General features: G+C 36.6%; 1 protein-coding gene across 71 annotated transcripts in view, besides 1 other annotated feature; it reads right to left on the bottom strand.

Moving 5' to 3' along the window:
* The window catches only part of ANK2 (ankyrin 2), a 678,115-nt gene that overhangs the window by 58,810 nt on the left and 600,263 nt on the right, over positions 1 to 19,042 (bottom strand). For 37 of the 71 annotated variants that reach the window (NM_001386187.2, NM_001386147.1, NM_001386143.1 and 34 more), the window contains 3 exons: positions 13,528 to 13,672; positions 7,118 to 7,220; positions 6,307 to 6,410 (listed from right to left, as the gene is read on the bottom strand). In NM_001386187.2, coding sequence (NP_001373116.1) covers positions 6,307 to 6,410; positions 7,118 to 7,220; positions 13,528 to 13,672 — 352 coding nt within the window. Of the gene's footprint in view, positions 1 to 1,132; positions 1,169 to 6,306; positions 6,411 to 7,117; positions 7,221 to 11,231; positions 11,244 to 13,527; positions 13,673 to 19,042 lie in introns of all 71 variants that reach the window. The other 34 variants (NM_001386186.2, NM_001386148.2, NM_001354269.3 and 31 more) reach the window with 5 other exon arrangements.
* Positions 7,681 to 7,760: an enhancer, noted in NCBI's record as "active region_21836". NCBI's record gives its function as "activates an Ori minimal core promoter by ATAC-STARR-seq in GM12878 lymphoblastoid cells {active_cell/tissue: GM12878}" and the evidence as "EXISTENCE:reporter gene assay evidence [ECO:0000049][PMID:35858748]".

Below are 19,042 nucleotides of genomic sequence, written 5' to 3'. Positions count from 1 at the left end.
GGACTACATCCTCCACCCCCAAAGTTACTATTCCTTTAGTTTTATTTTTAATTCTTTGAGGACCATGGGATGGGAATGGGGAGGAAATTGCAGCATTCAGAGTTAGTTGAAAGAACAGGAAAAAAAATCATCAGAGTGCTTCAGTGATCCTCATATACATAGCAAGAGGGCCTCAGATTAAATCCGATTTCTGAGGTACTGTGAGACAAACCATTGCATGAGCTCTTTCTCCTCTGTAATTCCCTTAATTCCTTCCTAATTCTCCAAATTCTATAAACTTAAAAATTGCTTGGATATGGCTTTGAAAAAAGTGGTTCAAATTTTTTAAAATCACCAAACAATTATTTATCAACCACTGTGTTCACGTATGGAAAGACAATAGCGTGCATTTGAGAAAAAGTATAAGGATGTATATAAAAGTTTTCAAAAATAAAAACACAAAACTGTCTTTTTTGTAGACTGATAATTTGTAGTACCATAATGGATGGCTGTATAATAAAAATACTATAATTAGCAGTCTAATAGGAACCTTTAAAAATAACTTTAAATAAATAACAGAATAACAGGTATTTTTAGAACACTGACTAGTCATGCTACAGTACAATTTCTAAAATATCAAAAGGTTGCATTTATAGCAGTACTAGCAAGGAAATGCACTACTAATACACTTTCAGCCTTTGCCTCACCTAGAATATGGTATTTAAAATAAAACCCAGAACAACAAAAAACTCTCTGCTAAGTGCCACTTAAAATCATAACCTTTAATAAAACCCTAAAATAGCTTGACCAATTTGCATAATTGTAGGGAACAACATTTTTCATCTCTATGTAGCACTTTTTCTCACAAAAGAAGCTGGAGATGTGGAGACCCATGACCAAGACAGGCAGTCCACAGTAAGTCTGGAACAGCCCCACTTTATTTCCACTGAAATTAAAAATACCACTTTCTCTTCATCACAGAGAAAGGGGAATTCAGCAATAGCCACAATTTGGAGAACATCAATCTTTCTATCTCTTTGGCTAGGTATCTTCACACTAAAGCATCCTGAGGCAAGGAATATGCAGAAGGAGATGGCGAAAGGGGGAGAGGAATAGGCAACATGTTCAGAGAAAGAATTATGCAGTAGTTCACCTGCTGTTGTCACGTTCAAGACATGGAGAGGCGCGGCTGCAACAGAATAGATACTTTAGCACAGAGAAGGAACGGATAAAGTGAAATATAAGGAAGGAACTCAGAAGTGACTTATTATTTATACACCAATACCTTATTCATTGAAAACAAATGGAAATCCAAATGAGATATAGGTCGAGAAGAGCAAGTTATGGGGGCTTTGTGGCAACTCCCAGTTTAGAGAACTGGGGATATTATAAAATCACTGGATATGGGTTTTTAACCTTGGTCAACATTGGCTTATGAGGGCGTTTAACAAAGTCTGAGTGTCCAAGAAGCTACAGAAACATCAAGGGTCATTATGATGAAAAACATAAAGTCTTTGATTTGATGGACACAGTTTTGACGCAAAGGTTTTTGTTTTATACATTTAATACTTTAAAAATAATGATAATAACTTTTTGGGCTATCACAGAAGAAATGCAAAAAGAAAAGGCACAATTTAAAGTATAGATCAACAACAAACAGTAGCATAAACTATAAAGCGGGGTAGGTAATATCAATTACCTACTAGAGTATCGCAAAAAAAAGCTATGCAAACAAAGTCTTGGTGCTTTTGTCAATACTTCATTTCCTGCTTTGGAGATTGCTGTCTTCCTCAGTGGTCATAATGTCTAATCCCACATTATAGTTCTACCTTTCACTCTTCTTCTACCTATGAGTCTGCTCTTCCGTAAAACCCTCCATAAGCTTTCACAAGATTCTCTTGTGTTTTCAACCCTAATGACATACAAAAGTATACATGCTTAATGGACCGGAAATCCAACCTTACTAAACACTTGTTTTGCTACTTATTATGAAAAAACTTTCCTCATCTAAAAGAATTTACCTTCACGTATCTAAAAAAAACCCTAGGCTGTTGTGAAATACATGAATAACTAACTTAACTGCCGTACATATTAGATAAACATTAATATTGTCAAGTGAGAGCCTTGACTTCCTTGCATTTCAAATATCCCGTTATTTGAGAGAATACCTTCAAGATGATTTTTAAAATAGACTTTATTTTTGGAGAAATTTTAGGTAAACAACAAAATTGCCTTCAACATGTTTTTATGAAAAGAAGTTCTTTAAAAGACAACCTTACAGACCTCCAGTTAATGTATGACTGTGTAGGACATTTTAATGAATTGACATTTAATTGTTGGCATTTGACTGTAATTAAAACACTACAAAAACTAAAGACCTTTAATAACAATATTTAAGAAGACTTACAAAGCTAGCTACTGCTAAGAGTTGTGTCTTACATCTTCTAATTCCTTATGCACTTATGAAATGAAGAAGAATTGTAAAATTAAAATTCTTGCCCAAGATTATGTTGTTATGATCATGACTAGGATGCTAGAAATAACTGTTGATTAGAGTCATTGTGAATCTGAAGACAACACTTTAAAATAAACAGCAAATGTTAGTCTTTCTTTTGCCAGGTATTTGCTGTGTGTATTGAGCAGAACAGATTTTTTAATACTGATACTGATTTTTTAATCACTGATACTGATTTTTTAATCACTGATACCTATTGTTCTCTAGTTATGAACATTAGTCACTGGAAACATAAAATAGAGGTAAAATAAAATCACCAATACTGCTTATTGGTAGAAACGGTGTCTTCTATTAATGTAAAATCCCTTTATTAAATTTAAGAGAACATTATATGTACAAATCAGTGGCATGTGCATAAAAAACTAACTTTATTATCACCTCTATCAAAATATCTGTTTTTTGGCTGGGCACGGTGGTTCACGCCTATAAACCCAACACTTTGGGAGGCCAAGGCAGGTGAATCACCTGAGGTCAGGTATTCCAGACCAGCCTGGCTAACTGGCGAACCCTGTCTCTACCAAAAATACAAAAAATTAGCTGGGCATGGTGGTGCACACCTGTAGTACCAGCTACTCAGGAGGCTGAGGCAGGAGAATCACTTGAACCCGGGAGGTGGAGGTTGCAGTGAGCTGAGATTGTGCCACCACACTCCAGCCTGGGTGACAGAGTAAGACTTCGTCTCCTTTTTTTTTCCTTACATTTTGGGTAGAACTTGAAGTGGCTTAAGAATCCACCCAATTAATTAAAGAAAAACTAAGTTCTTCAAAAAAAATAAATAAAAGCTACTATTTAGGAACCTGGTGTATAATGAATAAAATTACAAAAAACTCTTGCTACATGACATGGTATGATGAGTGTTACTCATATACATTAATATCATGGTAGCTTTCAAATACCAGGAAACTGAGAATCATTGAGTTTTCAATAGTAATAACTCATTCTGTTAGAGTCATCAAATGCATTGTGTTTGTTGAAACACTGGAGACGCTAATAGAGAATAATTTGCCTGAATAAAAATAACAGTAAGTCAAACGTTACTATTGTGAATTGAACCACATTGACGCTGCCATTTAGAGGAGTCATAATACATTTTCCTTAATGGATTTGCAATTTGTGAAAGATCTAGAACATGTGTATATGGGGATTGTACAAATACTAATAGCTATAATCTATTGAGCACTTATTATTTCCAGGCAAAGTGCTAATTATTTAAAAAGTAATTAGCTATTAAAGCTCCCCTATGGGATCAATAATATAACACTCATCTTATAGATATGGAAACTGAAACTCAGAGATTTTTATATAACTGTGCCTGATGTCACATACGAGTGTCAGTGTCAGGATTTAATTCTGACAGGTCTGACTCCCAAGCACACTATTAACCACGATGTTTCTCTCTCTTTACAGATTAAGTGTCTTCTAACTTTAAATAACAACATAGAGTGTGTTTCTAAAGGCAGAGGCTAGATGTTACTTAGCTTTTTTCTTAGTACCTGGCACAATGTCAGGTACTTTATAGAATTACACAAATGTGTGAAGAATGAATACATAAGTGAATGGAAGAAATAAAGAACATTTGAGAGAACTAGGTATACCTTAATTAACCAGGTCTCTCTAATAACCAAAGCCTTATTAAGCAAAGTTTTTCCTAACAGTTTATATATAAAACAACTGTACTATTGGCGCTTGTAGACAGTATCAATGCCAGGCCTCCAAATAATTGGTCTGGGTTGAGGCCTGGGCACTAGTTTTTTTTGTTTTTGTTTTTGTTTTTTTTGGAGATGGAGTCTCACTCTGTCACCCAGGCTGGAGAGCAGTGGTGCAGTCTAGGCTCGCTGTAACCACCACCTCCCGGGTTCAAATGATTCTTCTGCCTCACCCTCCTGAGTAGCTGGGATTACAGGTGTGCACCACCACCACGCCCGGCTAATTTTTGTATTTTTAGTAGAGATGAGGTTTCACCATGTTGTTCAGGCTTGTCTCAAACCCCTGACCTCATGATCCGTCCACCTCGTCCTCCCAGAGTGCTGGGATTATAGGCGTGAGCCACTGCGCCTGGCCAGCACTAGTATTTTTTAAAGCTCCTAGGTGATTCTAATGCACAGCAAAAGTTGAGAATTATCCAGAGTCAGTATTAAATGCTTGAGATTCATAGGAAAACTGTTTTATTAAAGACTATGAATTTAAAGATCTTTATCTTAACACATAATTCATCTTTAACTACTGGATGCTGTTGGTTCATCATAAGTAGTGCACCATAATTACTTATAGGTGTATCTAGTTGTACATAATTGGGGTGTAATTGAGGTACTTAGACTACTTTACTGCCCTTCAGTAATGAAAGAACTTCTTTTAAAAGTTCCTTTTTCAAAATATAAATGATTTATTTTGCAAACTGAAGTATTGGCATGCACAGATTCTTGTGTAAATTCAGTTATTATTAGTCAATTACATTTTACCTAAAACCATCTCATCACTTTGTAGGCTGCATATGAACTTTAAACACCTCATTATGATTTCTAGATTCTTATCTATGATCCTACAATACTCTACATCCAGGTCTTTTTCCTTCTTACCACTGTGAAGAAGTTCATTAGCAGAATGCAATGTTGTATCTTTTTAGTAATCTATAGCTTTCTTTTTTTAAAAAAGCAAGTAAATTTGAATGAAGTGTAATTTGTTTTTTATTCTCATGAATAACTGTCGCATTAGGAACTAGCCTCTACTTATTTAACAAGGAAAAAAGTATTAGGATTGTTTTCAATAACTATATAACTTATGTTATTGTATGAACCTTTACTTAGTATAAGATTAGTTGAAGAAGTCTAAAATTTTTAACTAAAATATGTTGGAACTCTTTCCTGAATAAAGAATATTTTAGAATAATAAAAATAAGAAAGGATCTACTTTTCCAAATAGTTCTGGGATTTATGGATAAGGATTTGGGGATAATAATTAAAATCAAAATATTGCATTTTGATATATAGCATATAAATAGGGCTTTAAAAATAATTAAATAAAAAATAGAAATTTTATATATAATTATGATATTACTATATTATTGCAAACTACTAATATGTAAGGAAGAAATTGGAAGAGTGTTACAATTTAAAACTCCTTAAAGAATTTATATTCCACATAACTGAACACCTTAAGAACAACTTTAAGTATGTTTGAAAGTATGACTCAAACTCCTATTTTTTAATGAGTTAATAAAAACAGGCAGCATTGCTTCAACAGTGGTGTGTATACTCTCTGAATGACTTTAAAAAGATAACTGAGAACCTGACTGATTGCGTTCAAATTCCCTTTTTGTTTATATCCCTACTTCAAACAATATATAAACTCCTCTATATATTTGTGTGATTCAAGCTTCTGTAACATTATTTGAAATGCATTAGCATCTGAGAAAGGCATTTATTTCATTGAACCAATCAGCTAATCCTAATAAATAGAAACTTTCTAGAAATCACATGATTCAGCCCCTCTTTTTAGGATGTCTTAAAGACAGTACGTGAATAGTAGGAAGGCCACTAGTATATTCCAGTTAGGTAGCAAGCTGTTTGACGCAATTCTACTAGTTGTTTTAAAACAATAGTCAGTTTTTTTAATGCTGAATTCAATCTTTTTTGCTGGTTTGTTGTTGTAGATATAGAGTCCATGTTGGATAAAGCAATGTTATTTACAAGTTTAAACAAAGGGCACCTCCACTGTAAAGCTAGCCACCAGCTAAAGCTACTGGACAAAGCTGTTGTTTTCACTCCCATCTCTTTTTACCTCTTGATCAGGATACATAATATTGATTTACTCACCCTGAATGAATAGGACTAGAAGAAAGAGCCACGTTGTCTAAGTTCTCAGTGCCCCAGCTTAGGCGATAAGAATTCCTTTCTGCCTCCTTGGCTAGAGTTGACACCTAAACACAAAGAACACTGGATTGAATAAACACACTTTGCTTCAATTAAAGTAAAATATAACAAAATATAAAAAGTGTCATCACTGGAAAGTGGTATAACCTAGAAAAACTTACACTTAAAATATAAAACCAATGTATTTACAATGAATCTTTTAAAATGCATTCTCTTTTAAACTGCATTATTTAAATAGATTATATAAGATTACATTCGTGTAATTGTCTTTGAAGACAGTAGGTATCCATCTATTTCCCTATACCCAATCCACCAAAAGTGATAAAATCATAACTAAAATTAAAATATTCCAGAATAAATTTTAAGCCTTTCTCATAGCTAACAATTTTAAATATTGAAAGATATAACTTAACCTGTACCATTCATCTTATACCTTAAATGCATCCTACTTCACTTTTTCCTTTAATGGAGATTTTATTTTAAAAATATAATGTTCATATATAATCTCCACAGAAGAATTCAGTATAGCTGAAGAAATAAGCAGTATGCTTTTTCAGAAAAACACTGCTCATTGAAAAAATCTAGTGAACATTTTTCATGTTTTAGGAAAACCCTCAAATCTCTTATCCTAGCTTCTCAACTGAATTGGGAATGATTTTGGGGGGATTAAAAACTTTCTCAGGACATTTCTAGCATCCAATAATGTTACAAAGCTCTCCAGAAAGCAAAGACATGAAGGCAAAATGTCACATACCTGGTGACTGGGAATCACAACTGAGTCATCCATCACGGCACTGTCCCTCAGGTAGGAGGCATGGCTCAGAGTGTGAGACCTGTCGGAACTGAAGGATCGAAGGCTGGTAGGTTGGCAGGAGGCCATGGCATATACCAACAGCAGTAGCAGGGTTGGGATGACAAAATGATGAGCCGAGCAGGAGAGTGAAAAAAGCGTGCTATTAGCTAACAGCACAACTTCCAGGGGGACACAAGTCTCTGTTGTCCTACCTTTTTGTCCAACAGCTGAACTAACACATCCTTTGACAGGTTCCTACCGCTCAATGGCAAGAGCACAAGGGAATCCAGAAGTTAAAATTTGATACTCCTAATCTGATTCATTTTCTTCCCAGAAATGTTTGAAACCAGCAACTGTAGTTTATTACTGCCAGTACCAGAAATTCACTCAGGAAATAATTCCAGGATAGATTGCTTAAATCTGTGTTAAATGTTAATCTCTCTGCAACTAAGAAAAATATAAGGAGGAAAGTAGATGGCCCTCAGAGAGAAGAACAAAATGAAAGCCCAGTTTCATTTTCGCTTATTATTTTCCATTCTCTCTCTATGCCTCTTTCTCCTCCTCTCTAAACTGTGAATGACTGAATGTTGGTGCATTCCCCTGGAAGGTACAGAGTGAAATGAACTGTGGCCAGATGCATGCTTCCTGCGGAAGTGGAGTTCCTCTTGTTTGTCTCTAGTGACTCCAACAATGCTATTATTTCAAACGAGAGCACTGTCCCCTTTGCATGTCCTGTGTGTGGTGACTGAAGCACCAGAGTGTTGGTTGCCGTGGTGATGAGATGCATGAGCACAAGAAACTGTATCTAAGCTCCAGCCCAGAACACAGACACACCTGCCAGCACAAAGACAAATTGCCAATGGCCACTGACCAAAAATGAGGTTTGGCTTCAAAATGGGATTTAGGCCTTGATAAACCATGCATTACATTTTTGAAAAATCTGAACTTCAAAGTTCTAAATTACACACTCATATGTAATAGGTAAAACTTGACATTTGCATAGATGCAATCTCATTCCTTTTAAATCAATTTGTAAAATCAAATGACAGATTGGTATCTTAAATAAGCTATATTTTATACACTGTAGCTCAAGTATTAAAGATCTGTGTTCAAAATATTAGCCCAAAGCCCATAAGGGAAAAAAAGGAGATACGCAAGCTTTCACAATATTTATAGAAGCAAACTTTCATTTACTTTTAGCTAGTAGGTGTTTGGCCAGTGAAGCACTGTAGAATTATGGACTAAATGTTAAATTAGCATATTTATTAGTAGAAACTATCTTCATTTTGCAAGTATATTTAATTTTGTAAGCCATGTACTATCATATCTATGAGGTGTCAACATAGCCCGCATCAATTGTCTTTGAGGAAATCATCACTTTGTAGGTAATTCATAGTAATCCAGGACCTTCTCCTTCTTATTTTACATGTAGGTATATTCCAAAAAAAGTCTTAAAGGGTAAATGACATGAATAAAAAGAGTTGATTGTCTGATCCTTGCGTTAACACATACATAAATCTGTGTTTACAATAAAACAAAATCTAAATATAACCTGAGAATTAACTATTTTATGTTATGTAGGCTCTTGGAGAAGATTGAGGCTCTTGACAGAGCCTTAGTAATTTCATCAACAAGAGTTTTAGCTCCAGCAATTGGAGGCTACTTATATTACAGATGGTTTTACATTTAGCTTTTGATAGGGGATTAGATTATTGGGAAAAGGGTTAATCTCAGCAAAAGCTTGTCTCAGCTGGTGGAATGGATAATTTGTTTTCCTGCTGTAAATCACAAAGATAGCTAAGATCCACTTGGATGTGTTTTGTACCAGGTGGCACGAGATCAGCAATTCTTTTTTTTTTTTTTTTTTTTTTTTTGAGACGGAGTCTCGCTCTGTCACCCAGGCTGGAGTGCAGTGGCGCGATCGTGGCTCAGTGCAAGCTCCGCCTCCCAGGTTCACCATTCTCCTGCCTCAGCCTCCCGAGTAGCTGGGACTACAGGCGCCTGCCACCACGCCTGGCTAATTTTTTTGTATTTTTAGTAGAGACAGGGTTTCACCGTGTTAGCCAGGATGGTCTCGATCTCCTGACCTCGTGATCCGCCCACCTTGGCCTCCCAAAGTGCTGGGATTACAGGCGTGAGCCACTATGCCCGGGCTAGATCAGCAACTCTTAAATTCTATTCACCTTTATTTTGTTTTGAATTTGGCTAAGGAAGGGAAAATAGTAGAGGAGCCAACCTCTTCTGTTTCTAATACAGCTGTTCTATGGGCTCAACCGTCTTCTGGAATAGCAGAAACACCGGTCTCAAAGGGAAAATGAAAATTTAGCTTGAATGAGAACAAACTGAATGGTAAATAATGGTACCTCAAATAAAACCTTGTGACGTGGCTGCCAGATTGCAAAGGTCTAAACTTTGAAAGAATCAATCAGGTCTCAATTGCCACTCTCAAGGAGTGACTATGGCTAAGTAGACAAGTCTGTCTATTTCAGGAATGTGGTATTAAAGAGCCCATTGGGCTATGAAAGTAAAGTCGCACTTTGCAATCGGTATATCAGTCATACAAGTGAAATTTTGATATCCATTTAGTTGATACCTGAGTCTATCTCTCAATTGGTTTTGTACTGAGAGGAATAGAGAGGTGTTGGTGTTTTTTGTCTTTCCTAAAACCCCAACAGGAAAGAAATACAGAGGGATAAGAAAAGAAAGAAGGAGACAAAGTGATATATAATCACAAAAAATTGATTAGAGTAGAGAGAGAAAGATATTAGGATATGTACACAGAGAGTGAGAAAAGTTGGACAGAGAGAGGGAGCAACAATGAATAAGTCAAAACCATATATAGGAGTGTCTCTACCTTTCTATGGGTTGTATTCTAGCCTCCTCTACTTACTTACTGCCTTCTGAAATACTAATTGGTTGTTTAATCAATGTGTATCATTTCTAACTGCTTTTTTAAAAATGATGTCGTATAATCTACTTAAATGAAATAAAGATGGACTATTCCAACACCAGAGAAGTTATTCGCTCTAAAAGAATATTCCCTCTAAAATAATAATAACTAAAGAATTATTCTCACTAAAATAATATAACCAGCATGACAAAGGTCTGGAATAATTTAAGCCCTTGGATCAGAAATTGTTCACTCTGATTTAAGACATTAAAAACAAGTTTAAATATTTTCCAATACAGTTGCCAATTTTTCATGAAGTCAATGGTTCTGCTATTCAGTTAATAAATGTATAATAACATAGCCATAGAAGTGTAAAGTTTTACTTGCTGTTCATCTAGGGGATGTACTAGGGGTTTTGTTATGGTCTTAGTTTATATTTTTTATTTTACTACGGTACAACTGCTTTATGGACACATAATAGGTGGTATGAAAGTGTAATTTTATTGAAAAGTATAATAATTACTATCTTGGTAAACTGTAATATTTATTAAACATTCAATTAATGGAGTGGCAAACTTAACGAGTAGAAATCCACAATTTTCAATAAATTTGCTTTAAGATATGAAGAAGCTTCTGTGGTTCATTATTATTTAGTATTTTACATTGAATTTGGAAAGCATTTTTAATTTGTAAGCTACAATAAAATAAAACAGATGCAAAATCCAACTAATCATAACTTGGTTGTATTTGTATTTAATGTACATTAAATTGTATGTATTTGTATTCTTCCATATCTATGCATATTTTAGGCATCAGAATATTTTTTCTATCTTCTCCAACTACACATAGGCTAATTGGGGTTGTTTGGGGAAAGCCATGCTAATGTGTTATCAACCACAGGTGCAGCAGTGATTGTTGAAACAAAGCAATACCTGGGTCATGTCACAGATTTACATTTTAATAATATATTCACCTCTTCTAGCTCAGCTAGTTATTCAGTTCAATACATAAAAATATTTATTTTAGAATAAATCCATAATTCTAGAATATAAGCACCCCCTCCCACTCCCCCACCGCTCCCCCTCACCCCCCGCCCCGGCAACACACACACGCAGGTTTAGCAGTGAGCAGGGAAATGTGGATAAATCTAGGAAGGGCTTGTTTCCATGCTCTGTTAATACCTACCTGGGCATGGTGCTAGTGAAAGCAATTCAGATAAAGAAATAATGCAAAGGAAAAAATGGTCACTGAGAAAAGGTAACTTATATTGAATTGCCTAAGCAAAATTAAAAATAAAAGAAGACCATGAAAATGAGATGCTGTCTGTCACTCTATTTTGGAAATGGTGAATACATCTAGTGATCTAGAAATGCAAGTGGAGACCTGGAGAACACAGTATGTCTTGTTTGTTTCATGTCCCCTGACCTTATGTGCTGAAAAGTATTGGATTTAAGCAGGAGCATTCAAGCCATCCATCCTGTTTTATAGAAAGTATTATTCTAAATTCTTCCTCAACCTAAGTACTTTGAAAGAAGAAAAACAGATCAAATCAAGTACTTATTCTTAATAAGGGAGACCATGCAAAAAATAGAAGCTTTATGGTTGACAGTAATAAGACTGTTCATAGATTATCATCAATTTGTGCAATGCCATGAACATTACACTTTATTCAAATTTGAAATCTTTTAAGAATCTCAGAGTATAAGGTCCAAATCTACCAATGTATCAAGACAGCTTATGGAACTCCAGAGGGGCTCCTCCTTCTGGGAGCACCCTTTATCTAAGTTATTGAAGCCAAGGACTCAATTTAATCTCCTTCCCCTTCCTCACCTAAATCATGAAATTCATCATGAAATCTGACTAGTTTTGCCTCCTACACATGTCTCAAAAAACTCTCAAATTTTTTATTTCTGAAATTCTCTCCATGACTATCACCAAGGTTAGAGTGCTAGTCCTCTCATGACACCTGCAGTTAATACACGAACAATTGCTTCTCAGAGTGGCTGCAATCTCCAGGTTTAGCCCTTTGAAACTCTCCTTTAAAATTCATCCTCTTTCTCACTGGCAGAAGGATCCCCCTGCTATGCAAATATAATTCCCGTCCTCCACACTTACACTCCAGCAACACTGCATTCCCTTTTTTCTCATACACCCTGCGAGCCTTTGCTCAAGACCTTGTTAAGGCTTCAAATGCCCTCCCCACTTTTCCTCACCATTGTTACTCATTATTTGGTCTCAGTTTGGTTTCATCTGCTCCAGGAAGCTAGAGCCTCAGGGCTTCAGTGGCACTCTATGTGTACCACTAGCTTATGCCCTCTCCCATCCCATTAGACTATGAAGTTAACAAGCCTATCTTGCTAAAGAAAAAAAAAAAGATAGTGGAAGGGGGCATTGGTGCTCAAGGAAAAAGCCCAAGAAAAGTTTGTTTTTGCTAATTATTCACTTAGACTTTAAGGTATTTATTTCTTAGACTCTATGCTGGATATTCATAAAATAGCTTACAATAGTGCCAACTTTAAAACTATAAACCTGAGATTATTGATTAGCAGAACACATTACACTACGTGGACAAACTTTCTTTTCTTTTCTTTTTTTTTTTTTCTGTCTCAAGAGACAGTGTCTTGCTATGTTGCCCAGCCTGGACTTGAATTCTGGGGCTCAAGGGATCCTCCAACTCAGCCTCCCAAGTAGCTGAGACTACAGGTCTCAGCACCCAGCCACTGCACCCAGCTATGACATCCATATTCATGGCCCAACTTATCAGTCATAATTTCAATGAGGAACCACAGAATGTCATTACCTAACTTGCATAAAAAAATAACAAGTGCCAGTTGTACTAGTTAATAATAACAAAAAGTAGCACTGATCATATATCTCAGAATATTATATAAACCTCCCAGATTTGCCTATTAACACTGGGCTCCCTCAGATTTTGCTCCGATTGTTTCTTGTATCCAGGCTCTCGTGGGATTCTGTTCGGATTCTTTTTCATGAAAAAGTCAGTTCCAGGCAGTTTTGTTCTGAATGTATTTCTTTTTAATTCAGCCTCACAACATACTTTATTCACAGAAATTATGTTACTAACAAAAAAGTGGGGGCAGAAGAGTATCCAAAGTGTCTGTGATGCCGCTCAGTAAGAATGTCTATAAGGCAAAATTGTCCTTTTAATTTGAGGAAAAAGTGGCCAGTGATGAAAAACGCCACATTTAAATGATGAGAACTCTTATTTATGATGGTTTTGCTTCTTACTAGTTGTTTGATTTTACCAAGTTATTTGATCTTTCTAGGCCTCAGTTTTCTGTTCTTTAAAATGGGCATATCTTAAAGTTGTTAGACAATGGAAAAACATAACATGCTAACTGCTGAGATTAATAAGGTACCTATTAAATGCTCAATAATTGCATCTACATTTTTATCATCATCATAAAAAATATGTTGCACATACTTCTGGCTGACATCAATTATAAGTTTTATGAGATACCTGTCAGATCGTCCTCCCTCCAAGCTGTATCGCAGGTAATTCATACCATCCAGGAACTGACTGCTGGGTAGTGAGTCATCACCCAGTTCTTTTAGGTCCTCAGGCCTAAGGTATTCTCCCCCATCACCAGTCATTGTGTCATCACCTTGAAACAATCAGAGGAAGAAGCAGGATTATTTCTTGAATGTAATATCAACTACAACATATGGTCATGATTGTGAAATGCATCAACATCATTACCTTGACCTTGATGAAACTGCACTGCACACTAGAACACAGAACACCAGCAAACAACTATACAGTGCTAAAACTTAGAGAAACAACATTTGATTCATTTTCTTAGTACTTACCAAGAAGAAGTAATCACTTGAATTTTAATTCTTTTAATATTAAGTTTGGATATCCCTTGTTGTTTACTTCTAGGAGAAAAAACTTCTAAGATGAATTCTAATTATAGATTTATCAAAACACAGGCATAGTCTGCTTTAGGATTAAGCCTACATTACTTTCAGAAAAAAATATGAGTTTTATTAACATTTCAGGAGACTACATCTATTCTTATTCATGAAAAGGTGAAGGGGATGGTTTAATACAGAATCTGTCACATAATACAAGCACAGTGCAAGCTGCATATTATGGATCCCTTGCAAAAAGCCAAAAAGATTATTTAAAAACTAAAAGTTGGCTGGCTGCAGTGGCTCATGCCTGTAATCCCAACCCTTTGGGAGGCTGAGGCAGGTGGATCACCTGAGGTCAGGAGTTCAAGACCAGCCTGACCAATATAGTGAAACCCTGTCTCTACTAAAAATACAAAAATTAGCTGGGCGTGGTGGCACATGCCTGTAGTCCCAGCTACTTGGGAGGCTGAGGCAGGAGAATTGCTTGAACCCAGGAGATGAAGGTTGCAGTGAGCCGAGATTGCACCACTGCACTCCAGCCTGGGTGACAGAGTGAGACTCATCTAAAAAAAAAAAAGTCTGCTTATATACTCTTTCTTTCCCCCAGTCTTCTACCCCACCCCTACTCCCCAAAATTCTAGCACCAAATTCTGAATACTACTTAGGTTCGAGCATCCTGTCCCTCCTCAGAGTCTGTTTGCTTTTGCATTTCATCTTGCTTCTCCTAATTTGCCAGTTCTCACCGCTGTCTCTCAGCAGCCAAGATGGTCACAGGGAATAAATACAACTCAAAATAAGCTTTAACTTCTTGGTCCTTAAAAATCCACAAAACTCCTTAATAAAATGGGTCCTACATTTCAAATTTTCTTATTTCTCCCATTTATCTTTCCCTCTTGTTACACCTTGGTAGGGTGAGGAAGGTTTATAAGGGTGAAGAAAGAAAAGGTGAGAAAGGTAAAGATAAAAGAAGAGTCTGGCTGGAATGACTCTACATCTGAAGGAGCAAGACACAGCATTTGATCAGGTAGAACATGCAAATCAACCACAGGAACCCAGCCTTCCTCTCTCGTGTGAATAGAATCTTATTAGAAAATAGAAAGACATTTGAAGAATATATTTTTAATCAAATATATCAAAATTTTATGACTCTGGTGACAAGACAAAAATTTAAAACTTCTGATTGGCCAGGTACAGTGGTTCACACCTGTAATCCCAGCACTTTGGGAGGCCGAGGCAGGAGGATTGCTTGAGCTCAGAAGTTTGAAACCAGCCTGAGTAACACCTAGACCTCATCTCTACTAAAAATTTTTTTCAAATTAGCAGGTCATGGTGTCATGCACCTGTATTCCCAGCTACTTGGGAGGCTGAAGTGGGAGAATCGCTTGAGCCCAGGAAGTCGAGGCTACAGTGAGCCATGATCGCACCACTGCACTACAGCCTGGGCAACAGAGTAAGACCCTGTCTCAAAAAAACAAAAAACAAACAAGCAAACAAACAAACAAAAAAACCACCTCTGATTACGCTGAGTTCCTAAGTGAATGTCCTTTACATTCTCCCTTATTTTGTGCATTTTGATGGTTTTGTTATGATGCTATCTGCCTAAGGCTGCTGCTAGGTTCAGTGCTACTTAAAGTGAATTTTTAGCATTTTCATATACACCTGGGGTGGCCCTAGGTATATAGTCAATGTCTTGATTATGTCTCAGAGAGAAATGACCCAAAGAAGCAAAGTCCCTAAATGCTGAAAGCAGTGTCTAAATCCTATCCCAGTGTTGGCATTAGCTGGAAAGCCACCTCTCTGGGGACTAATCTTGTCAGTGCTATATAAAATTTCTCTCGAAGACAGTTAGATGTATATAAATCATGCTATTCAGTAATACATACCAGCAGTGAAAGATGGAAAGTGAAAGCAAGTAGAAATTAACAGAATGTGAAAAATCACTTTGAAAAAAATTACCCAGGTTGGTCTATAACTGGAAAATTCTGCATACAAATCAAAGCTTTAAATGTATTTAATGAGCCCCTGAAATAACACTCATATTCTTGCTTCCCTTGGTGGGTGAGAAGATTTCTGCTAGTGTAAAGCTGGCCCATCCCTGCCTCCAAAGCCTCATCCCCTCCCAACTTCCTAGATACATTGTCTGCTAGGCCCTTCATCTTCAACCTTCTCTCCTCTGTTACAGATTCTATGGAGGTCTTTCCCCTTCCATGGATAAAACATCCATATTTCTGCCATCTCTGAAATATGGTAGCTTCTTTCCCAAACTCTTAGACCTTCTTTATTTCACACTCTGACTCCTGTTTGTTAACAATCAAACTTATCAAGCAGATGCTTGCTAATTTCAGCAATTAATCAGTGGCTGAGAAGTGATTTCTTCTTTGTAAAACTATTCTCCTTAATTTCTCTGACACAAATCTCTCCTGGTCTTCCCCCTATATTTTTGAGTCTTTCTTCCCTGTCTCTACTTCTCTTAAATGTTGATATTTTCCATCTGCCTTTTCTTCTTATTTCACATATTATCACATGGACTTAGAGGTCCACTAACAATACACAGATCTGTATTGGTCCCAGACCTCTCTCATGAATTTTGCATCTATATTCCAATTGCCTTCTGGACTTCTCCACCTAAATTTTCTATAAGCATCTCAGATTTAGCATGTCCACAGCAGAACTCATCTTCTTTACCTCTCCCCTTGTCAATGTGCTTCTCTTTGAAAATTCCCTACATGAGCAAATAGCACGACTACTTCCTTGCCCAAGCCAAGGGGGGAGAAAAGATGATTTAAAATAATATTCAGATTAAAAGCTTTAGCTCTTATTTGTTTGAATAGAGTGCCATTAGACTTGGAAAGAATTTTGTACAACTCAGACAGCTTTAAGAGAATCATTATACACTTTCTTTTTTTCAACTTACTTATTCAATGTGAAAACAAAACCAAACTAAAAGCAACCTTTAGTTTTTACATTATAGAACAAACCTAAAATGAATTTCTTTATTATTTCCTATACTTGGAATAACTTCCTTCCGATTGTTACCTATTTACTCACTTAATAGAATGATGATTCCCAGGTTTATGACTTGGCTTTTTCTTGTTGTTTTATTGTCCAATGTTTCCAAGCAATTTCGTGAAAACTGTTTTCTACTAACTGGAAAGCATCAGTGTACTGCAGGCTTTTTATGTACAATTGATGTTTTGATACCCGGAAAACACAAGATTCCTCAGTGATAGTGAGTGGTATATTTAACCCCTGTAGGACACGGGTGACAATAGCATGGGAATAACTTAAAGTGGAACGGCGGCCGGGCGTGGTGACTCACGCCTGTAATCCCAGCACTTTGGCAGGCCAAGTAAGGTGAATTCCCTGAGGTCAGGAGTTCGAGAGCAGCCTGGCCAAAATGGTGAAAACCAGTCTCTACTAAAAATACAAAAATTAGCATGGTGGCATACACCTGTAGTCACAGCTACTCTGGGAGCTAAAGGCAGGAGAACCCGGGAGATGGAGGTTGCAGTGAGCTAAGATCACACCACTGCACTCCAGCCTGGGCGACAGAGTGAGACTCCATCACAAAAAAAAAAAAAAAAAAAAAGGTGGAATGGCTCCCCTTCCTGACAACCCCTCATGATGCTGACAAGGAGATTCTCTGAAACGTTACGGAACCCACTCCCTCTCAAGCAAGCATTATTCCTGCTGAGACATGGAAAAAGGGCTAAAACCTGAGATGAAGAGCCCCACTAAGTGTTAAGTGTTCACAACAGAAGTGAGTGTTTCAAAGGAGGAGGCGCCTCTATATTTCATCCCAACATTCAGCCAGTCTGGAGTTCTCTTGATTACTAGTATACATCATTCCAGAGTACTAGCAGAGATATATGGACAAGCCACCCACTCAAGAATCCATGAGAATAAGGCATACATGAGTCACATTCCTATGGGCATTTTGGTTATACAGATGCCAAAATCTCTGAGCCCCACCTCATCATTTATGGCTGGGAAGCCAAGTCAGCGAAGACAGGGATCAACTCACGATCCTACAAAGACTTAGACGATTACCTTCACATCTTTGGTTAAATCTGGATGCTATAATTCTGTTAGACTGAATTCCCATTTCTGTCTTTTCCTTGCATTTCGCTGCCATATTCCTCCATAAGGATGTTATTTATATCATGGCTGTGCTATTACAATAGTTTTCATACTAGGTTTTGATTCCACACCCACCACTTACTAGCTGCGTGCTATTGAACAAACTACTTAATGTCTCTAGGCCTCATTCTCCAAAAATAAGCCTTTCCTTAACTGAAAATATATATATATATGTGGAATGATATCCACAGCCTGTGTCACAGGGATGGTATAAGGATTAAATGAGACATGTACCTAGCATTATAGAGATTTAGTAAATGCTTTCTCTTTTCTTAGATTTCTGCTTCCTTCCAGGTTCTTCTCAATAAACTTTTTCTATGTACCACTGCTGGTTAAATCTTTGTAAAAACAGTTTTAAATGTTTTCATCATTAATTGAAATCTTTAAGGTATCGTGTTTCCCTTTCAGTTAAGAATTCAAACAGTCCACAACTGAGCCTGGTATGTTTTTATGCATCAGCAGACCAAATGACTGGAGGATTCTGCCACTCTGTGTCTCTCTCTTGTACTTTCCTATCTCAAGACTTTCCCATACTGTTCCTTATCTAATCCCTAAAATCTATGTGCCCTGTTATTAATCTCTCATCTCTTAGCACGTTCATGAGACTGTGTTAGGTATATCTAGCTCCTGATCTCCCCAAGTGGATATGAAAAACTGACAACATAGTGCCTTACATTATACTTCTTTTAATATATACATTATTTCTCCATATAGGCTTCCTAAAGGTGTGCCTCATGCTCACCTTTGACCACTGTGGCATCAGTTATAGAGCTTTCCGAAACACAATAACATCATATTCATTATTTGTTAATTGGATTCATGAGTGGATATTATGGATTACTTTAATGTGTATACAGCAAATTAGCCTGATAGGATATCTCAATGTAAGGACATCTCAATGTAAAGTCTTACCTTATGATTTTATCTTGAAGAACCTAAAGAAACATCCTTAATATTTCTCCTTAAAAGCTATTAGT

The sequence above is a fragment of the Homo sapiens genome, chromosome 4 (genome assembly GCF_000001405.40).
Source record: "Homo sapiens chromosome 4, GRCh38.p14 Primary Assembly".
NCBI lineage: Eukaryota > Metazoa > Chordata > Mammalia > Primates > Hominidae > Homo > Homo sapiens.
The sequence above is the reverse complement of the archived record's forward strand: the minus strand, read 5'-3'. Positions and strand labels throughout refer to the sequence as shown.